Below are 24,655 nucleotides of genomic sequence, written 5' to 3' on the forward strand. Positions count from 1 at the left end.
AGGGACTTGTCCTTGTGCTGAGACCCCACCCCTCCTCCCAACACAGCACTACACGCCTTTGGCTGCCCCCAATCTGGCACGCCTGAGCTTTGCTGTGGGAGGGAGCTTCGCTGGGTAAATGAGGCCAAACAGGGGAAGATACCAAGGTCATGCCAGCACAAAGCTGCTGACCACCTGGCCAGAGGCTGAGATGGGTGCAAACCCCTCCCCACCTGCATGTGGGCCACCTCTGCCCACAGCTGCGGGAGGTCAGCTGGGTTGGCCCCCGGAGCACATGCTCACTGAGGGAATCCTGAGGTGATGTGCACAGTGGACTCTTCCTCGGGGGCCCCATGAGCCTTGTGGTCAGCAGGATGGGAAGAGTGGACGCATGAGCATGGTGAGCCCCTACCAGCCCCATTCCCCATCATCATCCAGCCACTCCTGTTAGAGGCAGCATGTGTGTGCACGTGTGTACATGTGTGCACGTGAATGTGTGCATGTGTGTACACACGCCAGTGCGTGAGTGTGCAGAGCTGCTTGCCAGCTGTGGCACAGTATCCCCCCTCCCCCAATGCTGCTTCCACGGTGCTTCCCAGGGCAAGGAGGTCTTTCCCTAAAGAGACAGGTCCAGACCCCAGGGCAAAAGTGCTGACCAGTGACCTCCAGGGAGAGGCCCAGGGCTGCCCACCTCCATGCTGAGACCCTCCTGACGCAGCAGGTGCTGGCCCAGTGACCCCTCACCTTCATCCTCGGGCTCCTCCTCCTCCTCGTTCACCTCCGGGTAGTACCTGGAGTCCATCTGCTTCTGCAGAGCCTCCAGCTTGCTCTCATAGTCCTGCAGAAAGCAAGGCCTGTGACTCCACTACGGCCCTACCTGCCTGGGCCTCTCACACTGCGCCTAGACAGTGGGCCTCACCACATCCCACTGTTTAGATGCAAGAGATGGGGCCAGGCAAGCAGGGAGGAGTGGGGGCGTGGGAGGACAGGGGTCCCCTGGTGTGGGTGGGGGCTGGGCAGGGAGGGCGGGGCCACGTCACTCACCAGCCGCTGCTGCTCCAGCAGGTAGGTGGCCTCCTCCCGCTCGCGGCGGTACTGGTCCTCCAGTTCCTGGAGCCTGCAAGGGGGCATTGGGGTGAGCACGGGAGGGCAGGAGGGGCAGCAGGCAGTTGGGGGTGGCCTCCGCCTCACCTCTGCTCCATCTCCTGCTTCATGTCGATGCCCTGCTTCTCCAGCAGCTCACGCTGGGCGAAGGCCCAGTCCACAGGCTCAGCTGGCGTCTCCGCACAAGGCGTGCGCTCACGCTCCTGCCGGGCCTGCTCGGGGTGGTTGAACCGGAACACATGGCTCTTACCCATGATGATGCGGTTTCCTGGGGAACAGAGGGACAGGTGGCCTTGAGGGATGGGGATCTTCAGGTCCCTGATGGTCTCAAGCGGGGAGGCGTGAGGAGAAAGGGGAACGGGTGCAGGCACCCCACCATCCCCAGCTCCCAGCCACTCCTTCTTCAGCCCTCGCTGGGACCTGAATGTGTCTCCTCACTCTCCCCATAAATCCACCCTTGGCCACTCTCCACTCAGCATCCAGTGACATTTGCAAACCACAGATCTGGGGCTTCTGCTGTGCTCCAGTGTCCCCGCCCCTCCCCAGGCCAGCCTTGTACTTGCCTCCTGCCCCCAAGCCCCTGTGCACACATGGGAGCCAGGACCCTCCTTCTCACATCCAGTCTGGGGCCGGTGCCCCCAGAGCTGGACTTGGGCCCTCCACAGAGCACTGCTGCAGGGCACAGGACCTTTCCTTTCCATCTGTCTCCCCGACTAGACTGGAAGCAGGGCTGGGGCAGGTCCCCTGTGCCCAGGGCTGGGGTCCAGGGTCCGGAGTCCAGAGACCACAAGAAGGAAGCAGGGACGGCCACTAGCAGGCACAGGTGGCTGCAGAGCCTCAGCATCAGGGCCACCGAGGCATGGGCATCAGTCCAGCCCCTCCCACCCCAGCACCCGGCTGGACCCCCCTCAGGGCTGCCCCATCTGCAGGGCCCTCCAGGGCAGCACTCACTGTCTTGGGACAGTCCTGCCTGCAGGGGCTCTCTTTGGATGGCCTAGTTTTCCTCTGACTTTCCCTAGTAGCTGCAGCTCTGTCTTGGGGCCCCATAGAGCCGGCTCTGCCCTGCCTCCCACCCAGGTGGCCCGTGCCTGCAGGTCTGTCCCCCCTCAGCACCTCCTTGCTGGCTGCTCTCAGCTGGCCACTTCCTCTGTCCTCCCTGTCCACAGGCCGTATGCAGCCCACCTCGGACACTGGGAGGGAAACCCCAAGCTAAGGCCTCTCTTAGCCTAGGCCCTGCCCTGAGCCCCACAGGCACCAGGGCCAACCCCAAAACAAGCAGGGAGAATGGGCACAGCTGTCTCTCTGTCCGTCTGACCAGCTGTCGCCCAGGCTTAGCCACACCGACTCCCCATTACAAGGCCACCCCACGAATTCAGGACATTCAGTGTGTCCTGCCCTCCTGCCCAGGGACCCCACAGGCAGGACTCCTGAGTCCCGAAGACTCCTCCGAAAGCCTTCGGGGGTGGGCAGATGGGCTAGAAGTGGGGCCACTGGGTGTCACCTGCCCCTCCTCACCCCCTCTGCTTTCCCCTAAGACAGGGTTAGGAAAGGGTCTCCCCTGTTCCAAGCCAATGGTCACTTTTATGTCAGCCTGGCCAGGCCACAGCACCCAGTGATTCAGCCACACCCTCCCTGGGTGTTGTGTGGAGGTTTCTGCACATGTGCTCCACACCTGCAATCAGCTGATGGAAATCAAGGAGGCCCCCAACGGTGGGGTGGGCCTCATCCAAGCAGGTGAAGACCTAAGAGCAAACTGGGGCTTCCTCTGAGGAAGAAGAAACCCAGCGGATGGAGTCCACTCCTGCCAAGTTCCCACCCTGCCCCGAGTTCCCAGCCTGCCCCGAGTTCCCAGCCTGCCCTGAGTTCCCAGACTGCCACCTGCCCATGGATTTCAAACTTCGCTGACCAGCCCCACCATCTGATAAGCCAATTCCTTGAAATAAATCTCTTTATACCTAGACATGGTTGTACGTTATCTCACTACATCTCGGTACATGTCTACAGCCATGTCTGTGCATCAGGCTGCTGCTGTTTCTCTGGCAGAACCCTAACTGCGTGGGCAATAGTCACACACCACTCAAGAGGGCCCCCTGTCTGACTGTCTGACTTCTCTAAAGAAGGGACTTTATGCCACGTGTGCCTGCACGTGTTTGAACATCACAGACACTGCAGTGTCTGGGAACAGAGCCCAACCCCACCCGGGGTGCTGCATTCAGAGACTGGAGCAGCCCACCCCACTGAGCTCCACAACACCTCAGCTCTGGGAAGCCCTTGTCCACTGCCCTGTATCCCCCAGACCAGCCCGACAGGGCAGAGTCCTGGGCCAGGAGGCAGGAGCTTCTTCCTAGGCAGGCACACCCTGGCTCCTCACTCAGCCCACAGCACGGACTCAGTGTCTCGGGGCCCCTGTGTTGTGTGAATGGGGCCTGTAGTGCTGTGTTCCTGGAGTTGGGGGACTGGGGAGGCACATGAGCTGCTTGGATACCCGCAGCCCCCTCCCCTACCTGCCCAGCGGCCCTTAAGAGCTGCCATCCCGCACAGTGCACAGGAGGCGGTGGCTTGGACATGGGAACAGAGGCCTCGCCTCATGCCTCTGCCTACCTGACTGGCCCCCGGAGTCCCCAGCCATACCTGAACGCAGGATGCTGGGCTCTGTGACTTTCTTGCCATTGACGTAGGTGTCTGCCCCCTCACAGGGCTCCAAGGTCACCACAGCTACAGGAAAGGTGGGAGGGGCAGAGAGGAGGACTATGAGGGGCTGTCACCTACAGCAGCTCGGCTTACCTGGCCCCCGGGCATGGCCTCTTCCAAGCCTCTCGCCTCTCTTTTCCCTGCTACACAGGCCGTGACCATTGGCAACACTCATTTGGGCCTCAGAGGAGCTTAGGGGTCTCACCCCACTTAACAGAGGAAGAAAGTGACCCCCAGAAGGAGGATGCATGTGCCCACGTTGAAGCCAAGAGGCTGTGCTGGGCCTAATCACCCAGGGCCCTGTCCAGCTCCCCAGGTGGACAAGGATAAAAACACCAGCTAATGGGGCCTGGGCCGTCCCACAGGAGAGGGTAGGCAGGGCTTTGCAGTCAGAGAATTCCAGGAGAGCCAATCGTCCCAACACCACTTAGGGCCATCACCCTGAGGTGGCCAAGTTGGACAGTGGGTGTCAGTCACAGGTCTGCAGGCCAGAGGCTGGCTGGATGCTGCCGGGAGATGCCCTTAGCCTGGGCTGTGGGCCATGTGACGGCACACTGACACCACAGGCCCATCCCCAAGTTGGGCAGCACCAGGCAATGGGGACAGCCCCACGTCATCTCCAGGAGGGAGACCACTGGGCAGGCAGGGGAAACGGACAGATGGCCGCCCACAGCCAACAGGAAACCAAGGTCTGGAAATAGTTTTCCACCCTAGATCTGGGCTCAATCCTCATGGCTCACTGTCCTCCCGCCATGAACATCCTCCACCCTGGGCCCCAACACGCTTCCCGGCCAGCAGCCCACCTGTGCCCCCACCTCCAGCCCTCAAGGAGGCTCAGCTCCCTAAGGCAGCAGCTACCCCTGGCCACAGAAAGTACCAGGCATTTTCCCAAGCACCAACCTAATGGAAGTTGTTTTTAAGGCTGGCCCCAAATATCTCTCTCTCTCTCCAAATCTCTCTCTCTCTCTCTCTCTCTCTCTCACACACACACACACACACACACACACACACACACACGTCCTGCCTAGAAGTATGACTCGCGACCCACTTAGTGCTGGGTAAGCTGGGAGAGGGTGACCTCATTCAGGCCTGATCATCACGGCACAGGGGCATGGGTGCGGGTAGGGACGGTAGGGTGGTGATACCTTCGCTGCCTCCCCTGGAGTCGCTCCGGAAGACGCAGTGCTCCTCCTTGATGAAGTGCCCACTCAGAACAATGTCCTGCCGCCTCTCGCCATCCTCCCTGCCCACTCTGCGGGGTGGGGGCACCATCAGCACGGCAGCTGGGACCCAATACACCCAGGACGCCACCCACTGGCCTCCAGGGACGCCCAACCAGGATTGTTTGGGAAACACCCAGCGCAGACATCAGTGGGGTCGCTGGGGAAGTCCAAACTCAGTGGCCCCTCTGCAGAAGCAGGAATGGGGAGTCCAGCCTTCCCCTGCCAGATCCCAGGGCCTGGCCAGGCTGGAGTGGCTGCCAGGTCCCCTCTCACCTGGTGATCCCATCCTTGATGTAGTAGAGCAGGCACTCAGACATCAGCGGGTCCTCGTTCAGGTTGACGAGGTGTGGTGTCTGCAGGGAGACAGGAGGATCATCTCTCTTGCAGAGGGGCAGGAGCCTGATGCTGGCCACACCCCCCTCCAACCTCTCTCCAGGCACCAGACTACCACCAGGGTCCCTGCCCCCGCACTTGGCTGGTGCCACCAGGCTGGTCACTCCAAGCCAGGAAAATGAGGAACACAGAAAGCTCAAGCCGAAGGCCCAGCCCACCAACAGCAGCAGGCCGGTGGGACCCGACCACCCGCATACACCCAAGCCTGGCACAGCAGCCCCAGCACTGCAGCAGAAGCTGAGCTTCCAGAAGGGCAGACAGCCCCAGCTCTCAGCATGTGGGGGCCCTGGGGCCCTCTGAGGCTGGGGTGAGCCCCCAGATGTGCAGACCACAGGCTTTGTCCCATGGGGTCCTGGGTTCCCAGCTTTGGACTGTAAAATGGGGTTCTAGGACCCCATTCCAGCTCAGACAGCCCAGAAACCATGGGTTCACCAGTGGGAGCCAAGAGCCAAGAAGGATCAGGACACTGACCATGGAGGGCTCAGCCCTGGAGTCTGGGGAGTGAAGCAGTTGTGAAGGGATCCTTGATGAGCCACCTGAGGCACCCCCATGCAGAGAGGTGGAGACCTCGTCACTGGACGAAGGGGACAGACCATCCCCAGCTGTCCCTGCCCCCTGAGTGGGGAAGATGTCCAGCCAGGAGGGGCTGTGCCCACAGCTTTGGGGCTGAGTAGGGGCTACAGCCTTGGGACCCCACTGGCCTGTGCACGTCTCGTGATTCCCAAGAACACTGAACTTCTCAAGAAGGGGGTCCCCAGTGGTCCCACTTCTGGGCAGTGCCCAGACCCAGGGCAACCAATAAAGCTGCACCCCTGGAGTTCCACCCTATCCCTCCAGGAAGGGGATGGGGTCTGAAACAGTGCAGGGAACAATCCATTCCAGACCAAACCAAAGGCCTGTCTAGAAGACGTGTATAGTGAAGCCCCATTAGGACACTGCCTGTCCCGGCCCTGCCTGGGACTGGAATCTCCCTACAGCTCTTCTCAGGCCCTTCCTGTCTCCGGACCTCAGCGCGTGCTGGGCCGGCGGCCTGGAGCACAGCCCTGCCCAGCCCCTCCCAAGCTATGGACACACAGGTGTCTGTCCCCATGTCCTGGCCATCTTTGGGGTGGGTGTGTGGGGGTTGGGGACTAGAACCACAAGAAAGACTTTTTCCCAAGTGTGTGTGTCATGCCCCACCTGGGCTGCTGTGCCATGCCCCACCTGGGCTGCTGGATGGGGGCACAGGAGTCATATACACTCTGAAGCAGCTGCCCAGGGGTTCTGTGCCATGTGAGGGCCTCCAGCTGAAAGACCCCTTAGGCCTGGCCTGGTGGGAAAAGAGGGGTCCCCACTGGAACAGTCAGACCTGACTCTAGCTGAGTTCCAAGAAGGCAGCTGGCACCCAGCTCTGTGAGCAGCCCAGGCTCCAGGGCAGGTCCAGGCCCCTCGTGTCTCAGTCTCCAGCCTGGGTGTTGGCTCCTCAGCCTTGCTCTGACCTTGGAGAGCCCAGTCCACACTCCAGGCCACTAAGAGACCCATCTGATGTCCCAAAGCCACCAGCATGCCCCACCATGAGAATGTGGGGACAGAATTCTCCACAAAAAGCAAAGTGTGACTATGGGTGAGCTTCACAGCCCCAGTGCCTGGGCCAGAGCCCCACCGTGCTCCCCTACTTCCAGGAGCCCCCTCTGGCTCTACCTGAGACAGCACCTCACCTGGTCCTGTTCAGATGAGGGCAGTACCACAGAACTGAGATAGCTCCTACCTTTTTGGGAGAGAATACGCCCAAGGTGCCGCCATCCTCCCTCATGGCCACACCCATCTCGGCCAGCAGGGCTTCCCTGGGGGAACAGAGCTGAGGTCAGCACAAGCTCCACAAGGCTTCCAGCACTGGCCTCAGCCCTGGCTGACCAATGGGGGCAGCGGGCCTGTGGCCACCGTGGCCTGGGTGGTGCCCATGCGTGTCCCATCTGGTCACTGGGTTAGGGCATCTGCTGATGGGACTGGCCCCTCTGCACCATGGTCAGGGATCAGGTCTATCAGGCCTCAGGTCTCTCAGGCCTTGGTGGCTAGCAGCCAGCAGTACACAAGGTGGGGGTCATTGGCGATGAGGGAACAGGTTTGCCCTGGGCTGGGATGTGGCCACCCCATGGTGCAGGTGCCCAGCACTGGAGGGCAGGGCTCAGTGCTCATCCTGCCCAGGCTCCGGGCTTGCTGGCTGCACCCCTCCCCCTGGGCCTCAGTTTCCCCGCTGCACACCTCTCCATCCGGATGGCTTCTGTCCGCCGCAGCTTCTCCTCCCAGGTCTCATTGAGCTCAGCTATGATCTTCTCTGTTTCCTGGGGATTGAGGCAGAGCACAGTGAGCTGCCGGGGCTAGGGCCAAGGGAGAGGACAATGGAGACACGGGTGCCAGGAGAAGGAGCTGCAAAGCACAAGCGCCATATTCCTGGGCCCGACAAGGCAACGAGGCATCCAGAAGACCAAGGTAAAGCTCAGAGAATGTCTGTCTTTCCCTTAGACACACTCAGGAGAATGGAGAAAACGCAAAACAAATCTGGAAGGAAAAGAGAAGCAAATGCTCCTGGGAGATTCTGAGCCTCGGCTCCTAAAGCACAGCCATCCTCGCTGCTGCCAAGAGGCCCAGGTGCTCAGCCCTCTTCAGGACATGGACGACACTGCCCAACATCAGCCTGGTCTCTCCTTTTTCTTCCCACCCACAGCCCAGTGGGACCCCAACACCCCAGAAGGGCTCTCTGCTCCAGGGTCACAGGCCCAACCTCGCCCCCATCCCCTTCCTCACAACAGCCTCAGTGGGGCCTCTGCCTTTTCCCCTCAGCCCCTCAGTCTCCAGGCGTGTGGCTCACCTGCCCCTGCACAGCCATTCACTGAGGGGCATGTGTCTAGAAACCTAAAATGATCCCGGCCCATTGCTGGGCACCAGGGAGCACACTGTGCCTTTGAGCGGTGGGAGGTGGTGACTATTCCCAGGCAGGTGTGCAGGTGTGAACACAGGATGGCCTGGAGGGAGCTCAGGAACCTGCACCACACTCACTGCCCTTCTCAGGGGGTATAATTCTATAGGACGCCAGGGAGGAAGCTGCTGTGACCTGGGACTGTCGTCAGTGGAGGGGATGCTGCGGGGTGGGGAGGGACGAGACTCCTCTCCACCCACAGATGCCATCCAGCTCACTGCTCCTTGAACAAGCACCCACTCACACAATTAAAGACTCGACAGGAAGAGTCTCAGTCCTGGACATTCATTCTTGGAGCTTCCCTTGTCCAGGCTTGGCATGGGTAGGGGCACAGGCCATCCAGACACCCAGGTCTAGGGTCCTGCAGGCGCATTTCCTGCCCAGCAGCTGAGTGTTGTGCAGCCCACAGCCTGGGGACCCCCAAGTGAACTGGCTGCCTTGGCTGCTGTGGGTGGTCTGGAGATAGACCACTGGGCACCTGGGTGGCCACACGCCAGAGGCTCCTGCTGATGCTCCACAATGGCCCTATGAGGATGGGCTGTACCCAGGAGGGCAGGGTGCCTCTCTAACTCCTCCGAGCTCCCCACTCCCAGAGTCTGACACCCTGAAGCCCCAGGTGGTGCCCTCACCTTCAGTCTTTCAATGGCCTCCTCGCTGCCCGGGGCAAACAAGATGCGCTCGTGGAGGCTGGACACGGAGGCCGCGCGGCTGGACAGGGCTGAGAGCGAGGATGAGGGGCTCATACCCACCAGGGCATTGGTCACTGTGGAGAGAGGGTCAGGGGCTTCATTCACCGTCCCGCCACGGTTAAGGTTATTGTTCTCAAGGTCGGACACGTCTATGGGGAGGAGGGGTAGGGCGGGCAGACAGACAGAGGGAGGGAGAGAAAAAAGATGAAGATGGGAAAAAGTAAGAGATGGGGCCCAGAGAAGGCAAGAAACAGAAACCATCAACGAGGCACAGCAGCCCTGCCAGGCCCAGGACAAGCGCATGCAAGGCCTTCCTGCCACCCCTTGCCTACGATGGGACGGGGCCAGCAGTGGCGCGCACTTGCCCGCCTGCCCCCCAGGCCTGCCCTCCCCAGCAGCAGCATGGCACAGACCTAGGCACTCTGGAGCTCCCCTGCACCCCCTGCGCCAGGCTTCTTGCTTTCCCACAGCTGCACTCCAGGCCCCACTGCCAGGCCACCCTACAGCCCCCACACCTGAGGGCTGGGAGCCAGTCCTCCCTGCATCTTCCCACCCTGTCCACTGGCTTGGCGTGGTCACCCAGCAGCGCCCCGTGCAGACCCCCACGCTTGTCCTCCCACCCCTCACATCCACCGTCAGCCTGGGACACCACACACCCCCGAGCTGTGGGGCCAGGCTGTGCTAACCTTCAGCCCACTGACATGGAAATTGGCCCAGAGACCATCCTGGAGGAGGTGAACATGGGACCCTCATGAGGGAGGCCCTTCCCCTCCACCACGAGGAGCTCACCCACCAGCCTAGGCCTCATGCATCCCTAAGGCCCGGGAGGTGGGGCTGTGACATCTCTGAAGTGGGTGGTGCCAGGGGTCTCCTAGCGGAAGCGAACACACAGCAGAGCAGCAGCAAGCACGGGACCACACGGGGTGTGGGGGAAGTGGAGGGCGCCCTGCAGCCAAGCTCGGGGAGGCACTGAGCCCCATGGAGCCAGACCCGAGGCCAGGAGGCACAAAGGTTGGGTGGGATTTGGCAGTATCCGCTGTGAAAGCTGAGCTTCTGGCATTTCCAGAGTTGAGGGCCTGGGCGTGGGGGGTCAGGTCAGCTGGAGAAATGGCATTGCAGATGGAGGCCTGAGCCAAGAGCTGGGGACAGGACAGTCCCTCCAGCCCTCCTGGCCCTTTGGTGCTGATATCCTGACCTTCGCAGGCCTTTGGGTGCACAGGGGGTCAGAGGACCTGATCTCGGCCATGTTTAGCCTGAGAAGGCCTCAGCGACACCCTGACTCCCCCGTTGCTTTGGTTTCTCATGTAGACCATATGGGTGGGAAGGAGCCAGGAGTGTGGGCTCAGAGGCAGACAGAATCCCACATCTACGAGCAGGGCCCTGTGGCTGAGGGAGAGCAGTGCTTTCTGCCCCCCAAAAAGGAGAAGAAAGCAGAGCAGGTACCCTGGGGTTCACCCCTCCCTGACCATGCCACCCTAGGCCCTCATGCTGGCTGGGGCTGGAAGCAGAGATGCAGAGAGCAGCAAAGGGAATACACACATTTGGGTCCTCCAGGCACAGTGTTGGCTATGGGGGAGGGAAGCGTGGGGGAGGGGGAGAGACAGAGAAACAGAAGAACAGGTTTGTCTCCAGAGGGTCAGGCACGCCTTTCACAGGCCAGGGTGGCCAGCAGTGGGTGTGTGGCCACAAGCAGGGTGGTGAAGGTCTTCAGCTCCAGAACGCGGGGGACCTCGGTGACCCCAGCACCCACAGCCTGCCTATGGGGCTTCCAGGGGAGCCGTCTCTGGCCCACTTGCATCAGCATTGAACCCAAACCATGTGGTACCATCCAGGCCAAGGCCAGGAAACTTGCCCTTGTCCAGGGCCCCCGCCCGGCCTCCCACCCAGAGGCATTTCTGCCCAGGAACGTGGAGCAGGGACAGGGATTTGGCCCAGAGGGGCTCTGGGAGCGGTGTGGAGCTGCCACAGCCCAGGGTGCAGCCAGCAAAGTGGTGGCCCCAGGAGAGAGGATGTGATGACCTGCGAGGCCCCTGAGCCTGAGGCCCCACAACCCTGTCCAGGACAGGCTGGAGCAGGCACTCACTGTCAGTGATGTCGCCAAGACCCTGGGCGTACAGAAGGTCCCGCAGCCGGGTCACCTCATCCTTCAGCTCGCGGATCAGCTTGTTGTTGGGGTCCTCATTGATGACAGCATTGCAGCGGATCTGCTTGGCCCGGTCAGCATACCTGGGTGGCAGAGGGGGCTGTGGGCTGTGCTCGGGACAGGTCCACATCTGGCAGGTCCCAAGGGTGCCTAGAGCCCTGCCCAAGACCCAGCCTTTTGGGCTCAGCAGCCAGGCCAAAGGTGGACCTGAGCCAGCACAGCCTGGCACAGAGTGAGAAATCGCCCCCATGGCAAGTCGCTGGGGAGGGCATTTGGGGCCACAGGCCAGAGAAGACTTACAAGGGAGGTCACCCAGTTCCCGCTCGCCCACTTGGGGAAACTGAGGCCCAGGTGAGAAGGGACAGGGTGGTGTCCTCTCCCCCAGTGGTCCCAGGGTAGAGGGAGAAAGTCCAGTGGGAAAATGTGAGCACATCTATGTGTGCATAGGCTTGTGCTCACACCGTGTACCAGCCGATGCACATGTCTACGTTTCCAGCTAGTACATGAACCTCTATTGGGCCACACGCCCTTTGTTTCTCTTAAGCACTGGTGGTGCACAGTCGAAAGAAGGGAGAGACCACTGACCCAAACAACCGAGCAGCCTCTAGCATGGCTAGGGGCCCAGGCTCCCCACCCCAGGTGCCCACCCTGCCCATAAGACACACCTATGTCCCCTCTGCTATCTAAAAATCCCCAGTGGTTACCCCGGCCGGCAGGTGAGTGTAAACTGCTTCGCCCAGCAGGCACAGCTCTCCCAGTCTGGTGCCACGGGGCCCTGGGCTGCCTGCAGCCCCAAAGCACACCCCCAAAGGCTCCATGGAGGGAATAGAACAGGGCCTATGCAGGCCCAGGAGCCTCAGAACAGTCTCTTCCAGCCTCACAGAGTCCAGGGTATACCCCTCACAAAGAGTCGCCCCTGGTCACTGGTGCTTCCTAATTCAAGCACGAGAGGATCCATCCCCCAAGACCAGGGAGCGGGAAGCAGAGCTTGTCTCCCTGGAGAACTCACCTCAGCGTGCTAAGGGTCTCATCGTAGTTGATGTCTGCAGGACTCAAGGCTGCCACCATAGCTGTCCTTGAGTTACCGCCTGTGGGAAGAAGACCAGGTTGTGCCCAGAGGGGGATCTAGGCCCCAGGGCTATGTCTGCTCCCCCCTTCCCCCCACATTTACAGATGGGGAGGCTGAGGCCCAGAGAGGTAAACTGAGTCACAGGCTTACCCCCCCCCCCACCCCCACCCCATGAACACAGACAACAGCAAGGACCTGGCCTTCCTTGGCTGCTCCTTCATCTCTGAACCAGGCACCGCTATTATTTCTCTTTTACTTGTGTTTTTCTCACATTTGGGGCCATTTTACAACCATCAGGCCTTCCTTTCCCCAAAGCAGAGAGGAAAGTTGTGGAGGGTTTTAAAGTATTTACTCCAAAATAAATACCATTTATGTTCAATATTTTTTTCAAGCACTTCTATCATTTTCATTTGAAATATATTCCTCAGTATTTAACATCAGATTCCTGGCCCAGGTTAGTAGGATCAAAGCATCAGGTAATGCGTGGCATGAGGAACAGACTGTGTTCTTTCTCTTGAGGGAATCCTGTCTAGGTAACCTCAGCCATCGGAAAAGATCACCACTGACTCCACGCCAGCCCTCAGGACTGCTGCCTGGCGGTGCTTCAAGTCTGGACAGATGATCTTGCCTGCTTGACCCCAGGGAACTGTGTATCCTCAGGGCCATGTCCCCAGGGCATGGGTCCCCAGTGGGTCCCCATAGGGACTGAAGAGACGGTGTGAAGGGCTGGGCACATACCACACGGGCCCCAGGAAAGCCTCTGTGGGAGGACTCCCCTGCCCCCGCCCTGGGACTGAACCTGGGTGTGCCTGGAGCAGGCGGCTCCTTCCCAGCCCACGTCTCAGGTGAAGGAACACACTCTCCTCCTCTCTCAGCGGGGCCCATCCATCCGCAGGCCTGCTGCGGTCTGCAATACTGACCTGAGCTGGGGAGCAAGCATGGCTAGTTGTGGGGTGCAGAGGTGGTCAGCCAGGGCTCTGCACACCTCAGCCATGCGGCTGAGGGAGGCCAGGGACCCCCAGTCATCTATGTTCACCAGGTCAGCCCAAGACTCAGTTTACCTCCCTGGGCATCAGCCTCTCCAGCTGTAAATGCAGTTGGGGAGGACTCTGAGGTTATTCCGGGATGGACGGGATCAGCGTCGGGTGCATTTCAATTCCCACCTCCCCGTCTAAGTCTCACTGCTCAGAACTCAGACGGAGAAGAGGAGGTTTATGGCAGCCCCTCAAAATCCAGCAAGCAGAGCTCCCAGATCGCGTCCCAGGTCCCCGTGACTGATGGGGAAACCAAGGCCCAGAGAAGGATGAGTACTTGGCCTGGGTGTCACAGCCCACCTGACCCAGGACCACTGACACAGGCAGGTGTGTGCTGTGCCACCCCCTGGGCTGTCCTGGTTCCCACACTCGCTTCGTTAACCCACTGCTGGCCGTTGCCCCAGGTCCTCCAGAAGGGCCACGAACTGACTGGACCCTCCAGGTTCACCTCCCAGCCTCAGCCCAGAAAGGGTGAGAGGCCTGCTGGCGACTGGGCACCCCCTCAGTGGGGAAGAAGGGCACAGCCCAGGGTGGGATCAGAGCCCTGGGGACAGGCAAACCCACAAGTTCTCACCCAGGTTTTCCCGGAGGAGCCAGGTCAACACGGAATCTCGGTACGGAATGAAATCTGTCTTCTTCTTTTTCTTGTTCTGTGGGGGAGGAACATTCAAGGTCAAGCCCGAGCCCACTGCAGAGGAAGCGAAAGGGAGGGGCCAGCGCAGGCCCTGCCAAGTGGGTCCTCAAAGCTGGAGGCTGGGCAAGGGGCGGGGCCCGCTCTGCTGGACACATTCTCAGGCTGCCCAGGCCTCTCCCTGCCCAGACCCCAGGCCGCCACCCCAGAGGCCTCCTCTAGGCCACAGTCAGGGACTTGCTAGCATGTCCTTCAGGTTCCTCCCTCTTCCATCCCTGCTGCCCCTGGGCCACCCAGCTGGACACCGGCCAGGAGTGCTGATGTCACCAGCAAGTGTGTCCTCCCTCCACTCTGTCTGAAGGACTCATCTGAGTCCATGGCCCCTCCTCGAACACCATCAGCGACTCCTGACCCAAGGGAAAAGGCCCCACAGCTAAATGTGGCCCTCCAGGCCCCTATGGCCTCTGCCACGCTTACCTCCCTGCCAGCTTAAATCTCCCCTTCACCCAGAGTTCACCCGCCCTCTCCCCCATCAAACTCCCTATGGTCCTGCAGAAGCCAGCTCACAAGCTTTCCTCTAACGGCCTGTTCTCCCATCCCTCCCCTCAGAATGAAGCATCCTCCATGCTCTTGCTGCCTCTTTGGCTCTTTAAAATATGGACTCCATCCACATAATGCCTGCCAGGAATTGCTTCTGACAGACACTCTGTGACTGACTTAATGATCCCACTAACTGTGGGTTTCAGTGACTTCCAATGTCTACTGGTTCATGTATGCATTGGCTTATGAAGCATTTCCAGAGCACCTGCTGGGCCGGCAGATGAGGCCTCTGACCCTGGAGCCTGCACCCCAGGACATGCACGCAGATGCCACCTCAAGGGCTGGGAGCACACACAGACATCATTGTTCTTGAAGACAACCCCAGGAGAAGCTCCACCAGCTCACAAGGCACATAAAATTTGAAAGCTCTTGAGACTCCCAGTCAAAGGGGGTCCAGAATACTGCACTGGCTTCTCTGCGAGCAGGGTTTCAGGGTGTCCATCTCGCAGCTCAGCAGCATAACTGACTGCTTTCTTTTTTCTTTGGAAACTTAGTAGGGACTAACTCTACTCTATTTCTAGTTTTTCTTTTGTTTTGTTTTTGTTTTTGTTTTTTGAGACAGAGTCTCCCTCTGTCACCAGGCTGGAGTGCAGTGGCACGATCGCGGCTCACTGCAACCTCCGCCTCCCGGGTTCAAGCGATTCTCATGCCTCAGCCTCCTGAGTAGCTAGGACTACAGGCGTGTGCCACCATGCCTGGCTAATTTTTGTATTTTTAAAGTAGAGACAGGGTTTCACCACGTTGGCCAGGATGGTCTCGATCTCTTGACCTCGTGATCCACCCACCTCGGGCTCCCAAAGTGCTGGGATTACAGGCGTGAGCCACCGCGCCCGGCCTCTAGTTTGGTTTTTGATTATTTAATTCCTGAGGGTGAATTCTCTGCTATGTGTCACATTCCTTGCTTCCACATAAATGTCCTCCAGCCATTCAGCCACTTCAGCAAGGAGCCCAGCAGCCCCCTGGGTTTCCTGCTCCCTCACCGCCTCCCTGTCCAGTCGTGCTCTGCCATCTCCCAGGACCACCCCGCTCTCCCGTCTAGGCCCCCCAGCCTCCACCATCCCAAGCCTGGAACGCTGACCTTCCATCCTGACTTGCCGCACCAGGCCACCTGCTCCCGACCTATCCGTCACCAGCGCACATGGCCTGAGGACGCACCCTTGGCTAAAGCAGACACTGTGAGCCCCGCTGAACACCCGCCCGCTGCTGCCACTAAAGCTCCCCCAGGCAGCTCCTGACAAGCCGGGAGGGACCTCGGATCCTCAGACGGGCCCGGCTCCTGCCGGCCTCGCCTCCCTGCTCTGGGCCTGGCTCCTCAACCAGTTCCTCGAAAACCCTCTCGCGCGGCTCCTTCAAAAGTCTCTGTCACTGTCCCTCGCAGGGTCCCTCGCACTTTCCCTCCCAGTCCCTCACACAGACAGTCACGCGGTTCCCACGCGGTGCTTCCACATGTCAGTCCCGCACGCTCAAGCACTCAGTCCCTCAAGGAGCTCTCGCCGTTCCCCGCACGGTTCCCACGCGGCTGCTCGCAGCTCACCACACAGTTCCTCAGCTCCTCCCGCTCCCCACGCACTTCCTCGCGTTTCTCCACACGGTTCTTCACGCAGCTCCTCCTGCTTCCCCCTTTATTCCTCCATTCAGGAAAACGGCAGTCACTCGAATGCGGACCCCACCCACGGGATGGCTGCCGGTCACACCATTCATCAAGTTTCCCCACAAGTTCCACACGCAATTCTGTCACAGTTCTCTGTGGAGTTCTTTACACAGTTCCACGCGATCCTCACCTAGGTCTCTACATAGGGCCTCGTTACACAGGCGTTCCTCACCATTCTCCACACGCCAGTCCCCACCGTCCCTGACACACTCGCTCTCACGGTTCCTCACAGCTCCAGAGAAACTTGCCCACATTCCTCCAACATTTCCTAACACGGCTCCCCACGGGAGGCCTCACACGATCCTCCATTTCTCAGAGCTCTCAGCAGGCGCTCGCAGCTCCCGCACAGCGTTACACACACACACACACACACACACACACACACAGGCTTCTCAGTGTCCCACGGGCCTCACAGCAGCCACGCAGCTCCCGAAAACCCCTTCAGCTCGGCCCCCGTCCCCACACAGCTCCCCACCCCCTTCCACACACTTCCTCCCGGTTCCCACAGCTCCACGCGGCGCCCAGCAGGTCCCCGCAGCTTCCCATCCAGCTCCTCACACTCCCCGACAACCCCTCGCACACGTCTCTGCAGCTTTCCTCACGATTCTGCGCACCGTTCCACACACGGTTCCTCACCGCTCCCCACGTTTCCCAAACAGCTCCTCCCGCCATGGCTCACACACTTCCTCACACGTTCCTCACACAACCCTTCACGCCATCCCCAATGCGGGTGCACACACACTTTCCACACACTTCCTCAGGCCATTCGCCCGTGTGCACCCCGTTCCTACACACAGCGCTCCACACGGCTCCTCACGGGTCCCCAACAGCACCTCCATGTTCCCACCCAGTTCCACACAGTTCCACACTCAGTTCCACACTCAGTCCCTCACTCAGTTCCACACTCAGTTCCTCACAGTTCCACACTCAGTTCCTCACTCACTTCCTCACTCAGTTCCTCATAGTTCCACACTCAGTTCCTCACAGTTCCACACAGTTCCACACTCAGTTCCACACTCAGTCCCTCACTCAGTTCCACACTCAGTTCCTCACAGTTCCACACTCAGTTCCACACTCAGTCCCTCACTCAGTTCCACACTCAGTTCCTCACTCACTTCCTCACTCAGTTCCTCATAGTTCCACACTCAGTTCCTCACTCACTTCCTCACTCAGTTCCTCATAGTTCCACACTCAGTTCCTCACTCAGTTCCTCACTCAGTTCCTCATAGTTCCACACTCAGTTCCTCATCGTTCCACACTCAGGTCCTCACTCACTTCCTCACTCAGCTCCTCATAGTTCCACACTCAGTTCCTCACTCAGTTCCTCACTCAGTTCCACACTCAGTTCCACACTCAGTTCCTCACAGTTCCACACTCAGTTCCTCATAGTTCCACTCAGTTCCTCACTCAGTTCCTCAGTTCCTCACTCAGTTCCACACTCAGTTCCTCACAGTTCCTCACTCAGTTCCACACTCAGTTCCTCACTCACTTCCTCACAGTTCCACACTCAGTTCCTCACAGTTCCACACTCACTTCCTCACTCAGTTCCTCACAGTTCCTCACTCAGTTCCTCACAGTTCCACACTCAGTTCCTCATAGTTCCCCACAGTTCCCACACTTCCCCACACTGGCTGACACGCTTCCTCGCACGGTTCTGCGGCTCCTCACGCAGCCGCATGCACTGCCTCCCAGTTGTTGTTTCCCACATGGCTCCACACGCAGGCTGTCCCATGTTTCCCCCCAGGCCTCCCCACGCCCCACGGTGCTTCCGTTTTCAAACAGCTCTCCACAGCATTCCACACAGGTCCACACAGCCCCGTTGCACCCACTTTCACAGTTTCACAGTTCCACAAACAGTTTCTCAAGCAGATCCTCTCACAGTGCCTCAGACGGGGGCTCACGTGGCTCCTCTCAGGCCCCCGCGAGTTCCTCCGAGTTCCCGCACGCTTCCCCACAGTGTCCTCCACATTTCCACAGATCCCCCGAGTCCCTGACGCAGCGTTCACACGGTTCCTCATGCCTTTCCCAGCAGCCACCCGCCTGGCCCCCCGCAGTTTCTCCCAGCCCAGCACCGCTCCCCGAGCAGCTGCATGGCTCCTCGGCGTCCCTCACACGATTCCCACGCGGCCCCACACCCCTCCACACACTTCCGCTCCCATTTCCACAGGTCCTCAGAGTACGCGGAGCTCCAGCTCCACAGAGCCCCCATGTGGTTCCCCACACGAGCGCACACTTTCCCCAAGCGATTCCCCACACACTTCCCGCCTGCTTCCCCGCCTTCTCCACACAGTCACATTCAGTTTCTCACAAATCCTCCCACAGTTCCCCACGCAATTCCTCACACGGTTTCTCACATACTTTCCCGTAGCTGCACAGAGAGCTCTGCACGGTTCCCTCACATGATTCCACGTAGCTCCCCACCCTGTGGCACACACGTCCTGTCCCGGCACCACGCACAGCTCATGTTCCCACGCAGCTACCCTCAGGCCCCCAGAGTTCCTCGGGTTCCCACCACGGTTCCTGAGGCATTTATTCCTCTGGTCCTCACACAGGTTCTTCCGGCTTCTGACAGAGTTGGACACACAGTTCTCTGCAGGCTCCCCACACAGCTCCACACACACACACACACACACACAGCTCCACACACACACACACACACACACACACAGCTCCACACACACACACAGCTCCACACACACACACACAGCTCCACACACACACAGCTCCACACACACACACACAGCTCCACACACACACACACACAGCTCCACACACACACACACACACACACAGCGCCACACACACACAGCTCCACACACACACACACACACACACACACACACACACACACACACAGCTCTACACACACACACACACAGCTCACACACACACACACACACACACACAGCTCCACACACACACACAGCTCTACACACACACACACAGCTCCACACACACACACAGCTCCACACACACACACACAGCTCCACACACACACACAGCTCCACACACACACACACAGCTCCCCACACACACACACACACACACAGCTCCACACACACACACAGCTCCACACACACACACACAGCTCCACACACACACACAGCTCCACACACACACACACAGCTACACACACACACAGCTCCACACACACACAGCTCCACACACACACACAGCTCCACACACACACACAGCTCCACACACACACACAGCTCCCCACACACACACACAGCTCCACACACACACACAGCTCCACACACACACACACAGCTCCACACACACACACACACACACACACACAGCTCCACACACACACACACACACACACAGCTCCACACACAGCTCCACACACACACACACAGCTCCTCACAGTCCCGCACAATCTGGACAGCGGATCGTTCTCCGCTTCCTCCCCACGCCGCCCACGCCATTCCCCAGCGTTCTCTGACAGTTCCACGCGGTTATCACCGCTCCTCACAGTTCACTCCGCTCCACACACAATTCCCCACGCAGGTCCTCCGTCTCCCGCAGTCCCACGCAGTGTCCTGTGCCGTTTCCCACACGCTTCCTCTCCCGTTCCCACACAGTTCCCCACACAGTTCCCCACAGGGGCCCTCAGCTTCCTCGCCTGGCTCCCACTCGGGTTCGCCACACCGTTCTCCACAGTTCCCCACTCAGTCCACACGCCTTCTCCCAGTTCTTCCTGCAGCCCCACGTGTTCTTAGTCTCTTGGAACTCCTCACACGGGCCGCACAGCTCTTCACAATTCACACAGTTCTCTGTCCCCACACAGCCACCGCCGAGTTCCCTGTGCGTTTCCCAGTGAGCACCTCGCGGATCCCCGTGGTGGCGCCCGCCCTGTCTCACGCATTCCCACGCTGGCTCACTCCGTTCCTGCCGGTCCCTCGAACGCTTTCACGGCTGCCCACGCGGTTCCTCACACAGTCCCCAGCGTCGCCCCAGGCAGCTTCACACGTGGCGCGCTCCGCGGCACCTCCGACTCCACACGCGCCCGCCTCCCCCTGTGGCCCCGTCACGCCTACGGCTGCTCAGAGTCCAGCACGCCTGTCACCCGCTTCCTCTCAGGGCTCCCCAGCCCTCTCCATGTCCGAGGGGCTCCTCCGCGCCCCTTTCAGCTCCTCCCAGGGCCCCCACGCCCCCCGGGCCACACTTTCCCACCTCGGTGTCTCCCAGCAGCCCCCGCCCCAGGCCCTGCCGTGAGGCCGCCCCGGACGCCCTCCGTCCCCGCAGGCACAGGCACCGCACGGGGCCTCCCACACCCGCTTTCTTCCTTCCCGGGATCCACCCCCACGTCCCCCATCTCCCAGCGCACTCACTGCCCGCCCCGCCCCTCACCACAGGGCGCCAATGCAGGGCAGACACCGCCACCAGCCTCCCGCACCTGCCCCGGGGCTGAAGGAAGCCGCTTACCTTGTTGGGTCCGGAGTCCTGAAAAGGAAAAGACAGAGAGAGGCTGAGGCCCGGAGCGAAGCTGGCGCGGGCTGTGGGGGCGGAAGAGCAGGCGGCCCGGCTGCCTCGCCCTGGCCATGACTCAGGCTCTACCACCCCGTGGTCTCCTAGACAGCAGCTCCCCCAGGCAGGGTCCCTCCAGGGCCGCCCTTCCCGGGCCCAGGCCTGGGCTGCCTGCTGCACGGGGCCAACTGTGGCCATAGCCCCACTTTACAGGCGGGGAAACTGAGGGTCCCGGGAGAAACCAGGGCCCCTACCCCTTCTCCAGCATGTGACACTCTGGCCATCTCCGGGCTCTCCCTTGAACCTGGCCACCTCCCAGACACAGGGCCCGGAAACGAGGGTGACAGGGGCAGGATGGGGCGCCAAAGACCCTCTGGGGTTCTGGCTATGGAAGCCGGGCCGGGCCACTCACCATTTCAGCCAGGGCGGAGATGACCTTGCCCAGGGTGGTCAGCGACTTGTTGATGTTGGCCCCCTCCTGCGGGCAGAAAAGACAGTGGGGTTGGGATGCTGGGGACCCGTGGGGCCTCCTGCTCTGGAGGGATGCCCTGGGTGGACCTGTGCAGTGTGGAGTGGAGGCCACCACTGCAGCTGCTGATCTCTGGGGCCACTTGGGCGTGGGGTGCCCTGGCAGAAAGCCAGCTGGAGCCTCTGGCCAGGAGCATGTCCCCCAGTGTTGCCCTCAGCCCCATGCAAACCCTGATATCATCCCATGTCCCCCTGAAATGCTTCCGGGTCCCCTGCCCAAGCATCTAGTGCTGAGGCCAGCAGGGGTCGAGGAAACACACTCCTTCCCGACCCCGGCACTGCTTCCCGGGTGGTGCCCCAATCTCCCCAGGGAAGACCTGGCCTCTGGGCGCAAGGTCCTTGGGGCCCGAAAGAGGACACCGTCCCGCCAAACCCCTGACCTGTGTGCCCAGCGCTGGTGCCCCGGGCATGGCCCTCGGCTGCTGGCAGCCCAAGACCCCAGCCTATGCCCACCCTCCCTATGCAGGCTCACCCTCAGGGTGGCCCAGGCCCCCGGGACCCCAACAGAGCCCTCCTGCCACCCACTCTGGAGCAGGCCAAATGTGGACACGGGTCCCCGCATGGCGGCCTGGCCCCTACCTTGAGGCGCGTGCCCTTGGCTCCCGTGGAGTCAGCCCGCTCGCTCCCAGCCAGGTCCACCAGGCTGATTTTGCTCACCTGAAACAGTAGATACATCACATGCAGGAAAGGCCACAAGATGCGCGGGGGCATCCCAGGACCCCTGGGCAAGGTCTCCACAGCTGTTGAAGGAGCCCTGGCCAAGCGTCCCCTCTGCAAGGCGCCGCCCCTCCCCAGGCCCAGCAGTCCTGACCCCGCAGTTTCCACCCGCACCTCCGTCCCAGCTCTCCCAAGGCCCTGCCCGAGTTGAGTGCCCAGCCACCTCCCCAGGGGAGCACGGGCGCTGCCACCACACGCTGGGTGGTTTTCACACAAGGGCGTACTCGCTCCCTATGGCATCCACGAGGTGCGACTGTCACTGTCCCCACTTCCATAGATGGTGCTCAGTGTCCGTGGTTGGATTAGAACCCAGCTCCAGGAGGCCCTGGCCCTGCTCAGCCACCACACGGGCCATGGCTGCACCTAGCGAGGTGGGCACCGGCCAGGCTCCCAACAGGGGCACCCGCAGTCTGGGGTGGGAGGCCCTGCACCGGGAGGCCTGGCCCCTCCTGAGCCATAGCTACAGGGCAGGACTTGCCCACGGACACCACAGGACCCTCTCGGTGCCCACCAGTGAGGGCAGCGGGGCAGGCAGCCGCGCCGACCTCGTCCAGCTTCACCCTCGTCTGTCCCCCAACCCACCTCAGCCATCCTGAGCCCCCGCTCACTGTTTCATGGAGTCCCGGTCAGGAGGATGTGCCTGGCGGACCTCCAGCACCATCAGGGACTGAGCAGCCCTCACTCCACCCAGCCCCTTTGCGCTCCCCACACGGCTGCCTGAGCGAGCCCCCAACCAGGTGGTGGCTGAGGTGCCCCTGGGCCTGGACAGCTGGGGCATGAGGGCAGGGGACAGAGTAAGAGATGGTCAGGGAGAGGCTGGGTGCCCTCCTGCTGCCCCTCCCGTAAGCCTGGACTGGCTGTCCAGGCAAAAGCCCCAGAAGATGGCCCCCTGGCCTGGTCCATGGAGAATGCCAAGGCATGGGAGAAGGGCCTCTGGGGCGGGGGGGGGGACGTCCACACCTGGTGCCAGTGTAAGTGTGAGGACACTACCCGCCCTGCACAGGCCAGCATTGGGCCTGTCCTTGTGCTGCCCCCACTGGCCTGACCACCACCCCTACCCTGACCACCAGCCACTGCCCTTGGTGGCACCGCCTGTGAGGCCACTCACTCACCTTCTCCGTGGTGATATTGGTCTCTGCGTCATGGCGCTTCTGGGTGAAGATGATGTTGAAGACGGCGTGGGAGCGACTGCTGGTCTCATTCATGTTGGTGGCCGCCACGGTCCTGAGGAGCAGAAAGCCACGCACGGTTACCCCTCGTCCTGTGGCCGGGTGCGAGATCGCCGGTGGTGCCAGCCCTCTGAACCAGGTCATCGGGGGGGGCAGTTCCCCCAGACCCCAGGGGCCGCCCTGCTGGGCCTGGCACTGATGGCGCCTCCTGCCAGGACTCCAGCAGGGCCCATGGCCACCTGCCCACAGTGGCGTCCTCAGCCCCAGCCCTTGCTGGTATATTCAGGGCAGCAGTGACTGCGAAAGCTTCCCACTCCTGGGCACAGAGAAGCCCATGCAGTGCCCAGCTGGGCAGGAGCCCTCCAGGGCCATGATATGGGAGGGGAAGGGGGAAAGGGCTGTCCACTGTCCACCCTACCACGGCCCACACCCGCGGCTCTGGGAAGCCCAAGGAGCCCGCCACACCCCTCAGGAGATGGCATGGGTCTCGGCAGGGTCCTCCAGAACAGGAAGCCCAAGGCTGCTGAGGGTGGCCTGGAGTTGGTCCTGATGCCACCCTGACCTGCCAGGGACCTCAGGGAAGGTTCCCAAGACTCAGCACATGGGATGTGGCAGCCCAGGGCCCACCTCCAGCACGGAGTCACAATGACGGCCAGGGTGCGCTGTGGGCCTCATCAGGAACAGCACCCCCACCCACCAGCCCTTGTGGGGCCACCAAAGGGGTGCAGGATGGCGCAGAGTGTGACTCACGACCTCAGGAGCTGAGAGTGACAAGGGCCATCACCTCACCCTCAGGAAGTCCCGGGTGGCAGAGGGAGTCTGTTGCCATGACAACCAGGGCATCCCAGGCAGGAGGCCCAGGGCAGCAGAGGCCAAGGAGCCAGGTTGCTTATGGCTGCAGCACTGCAGCCGACCCTCCCCACATGCCCCCTGACCCCAGCACACTGGCCCCCACACAGAATGTGGACCCCTGGGACTAGCAGAGCAGCTGCCCCATCGAAGCAGCAGCCACAGATGCTGCCAGCACCCCCCGGGCACCTCAGCCGGAGGACGCAGACCCCCATGAAGGAGAAGCCCCATGGAGGTGACAGTGTCCCCTGCACAGGGGGAGCCCTCGGCCTCTCTCGGGCTGGCACAGGCCTAAACGACCTCGGGCTCAGGAGGCCACACCTCCGCGGGGGCACAGATGGACCCTACCAAAAAGGGCCAGGACCGAGGTGAAGGGGCTTCCTCCGGGGAGAGGCGGCAGGACAGGAGGGCAGGGAGGTCCAGTGAGTCCCTCCACCCACCTGGCCTTGTTCCCTGAGTCCATGAGGTCCTGGATGTCATTGTAGGAGGTGACAGCCAGCTTGGAGAGGTCCTCCACGTAGGGCCCCAGCAGTGGGTGCTCCCTCACGCGAAGGTTGCCCTTGTTCTTGGGGTTCAGGAGGTCACGGACGCGCTCACAGTAAATCTCCATGTAGCTGACCTGCAGGGCAGAGCCAGGCCATCAGGGGCCCCTGAGGCGAGGGAGTGGGGCTGCCACTGGGGGGACCCCTGAGTGAGGGGGTAGGGGTCAACATAAGGACCCCTGAGTGAGGAGATGGGGGCCGCCATCAGGACCCC

General features: G+C 61.1%; 1 protein-coding gene across 28 annotated transcripts in view; it reads right to left on the bottom strand.

Moving 5' to 3' along the window:
* KIF1A (kinesin family member 1A) overlaps nt 1–24,655 on the bottom strand; it is a 107,637-nt gene that overhangs the window by 48,229 nt on the left and 34,753 nt on the right. For 13 of the 28 annotated variants that reach the window (NM_001379653.1, NM_001379650.1, NM_001379645.1 and 10 more), the window contains exons 6-22: nt 24,340–24,518; nt 22,994–23,105; nt 21,744–21,821; nt 21,049–21,114; nt 20,595–20,612; nt 13,856–13,931; nt 12,188–12,266; nt 11,119–11,261; nt 8,976–9,109; nt 7,632–7,711; nt 7,138–7,213; nt 5,271–5,350; nt 4,920–5,026; nt 3,715–3,798; nt 1,171–1,351; nt 1,024–1,096; nt 724–817 (exon numbers count right to left, since the gene is read on the bottom strand). In NM_001379653.1, the coding sequence (NP_001366582.1) occupies nt 724–817; nt 1,024–1,096; nt 1,171–1,351; nt 3,715–3,798; nt 4,920–5,026; nt 5,271–5,350; nt 7,138–7,213; nt 7,632–7,711; nt 8,976–9,109; nt 11,119–11,261; nt 12,188–12,266; nt 13,856–13,931; nt 20,595–20,612; nt 21,049–21,114; nt 21,744–21,821; nt 22,994–23,105; nt 24,340–24,518 (1,660 nt within the window). Of the gene's footprint in view, nt 1–723; nt 818–1,023; nt 1,097–1,170; nt 1,352–3,714; nt 3,799–4,919; nt 5,027–5,270; nt 5,351–7,137; nt 7,214–7,631; nt 7,712–8,975; nt 9,185–10,574; nt 10,602–11,118; nt 11,262–12,187; nt 12,267–13,855; nt 13,932–20,594; nt 20,613–21,048; nt 21,115–21,743; nt 21,822–22,993; nt 23,106–24,339; nt 24,519–24,655 lie in introns of all 28 variants that reach the window. The other 15 variants (NM_001379635.1, XM_047444819.1, NM_001330290.2 and 12 more) reach the window with 3 other exon arrangements.

This window comes from Homo sapiens, chromosome 2 (assembly GCF_000001405.40).
Source record: "Homo sapiens chromosome 2, GRCh38.p14 Primary Assembly".
NCBI lineage: Eukaryota > Metazoa > Chordata > Mammalia > Primates > Hominidae > Homo > Homo sapiens.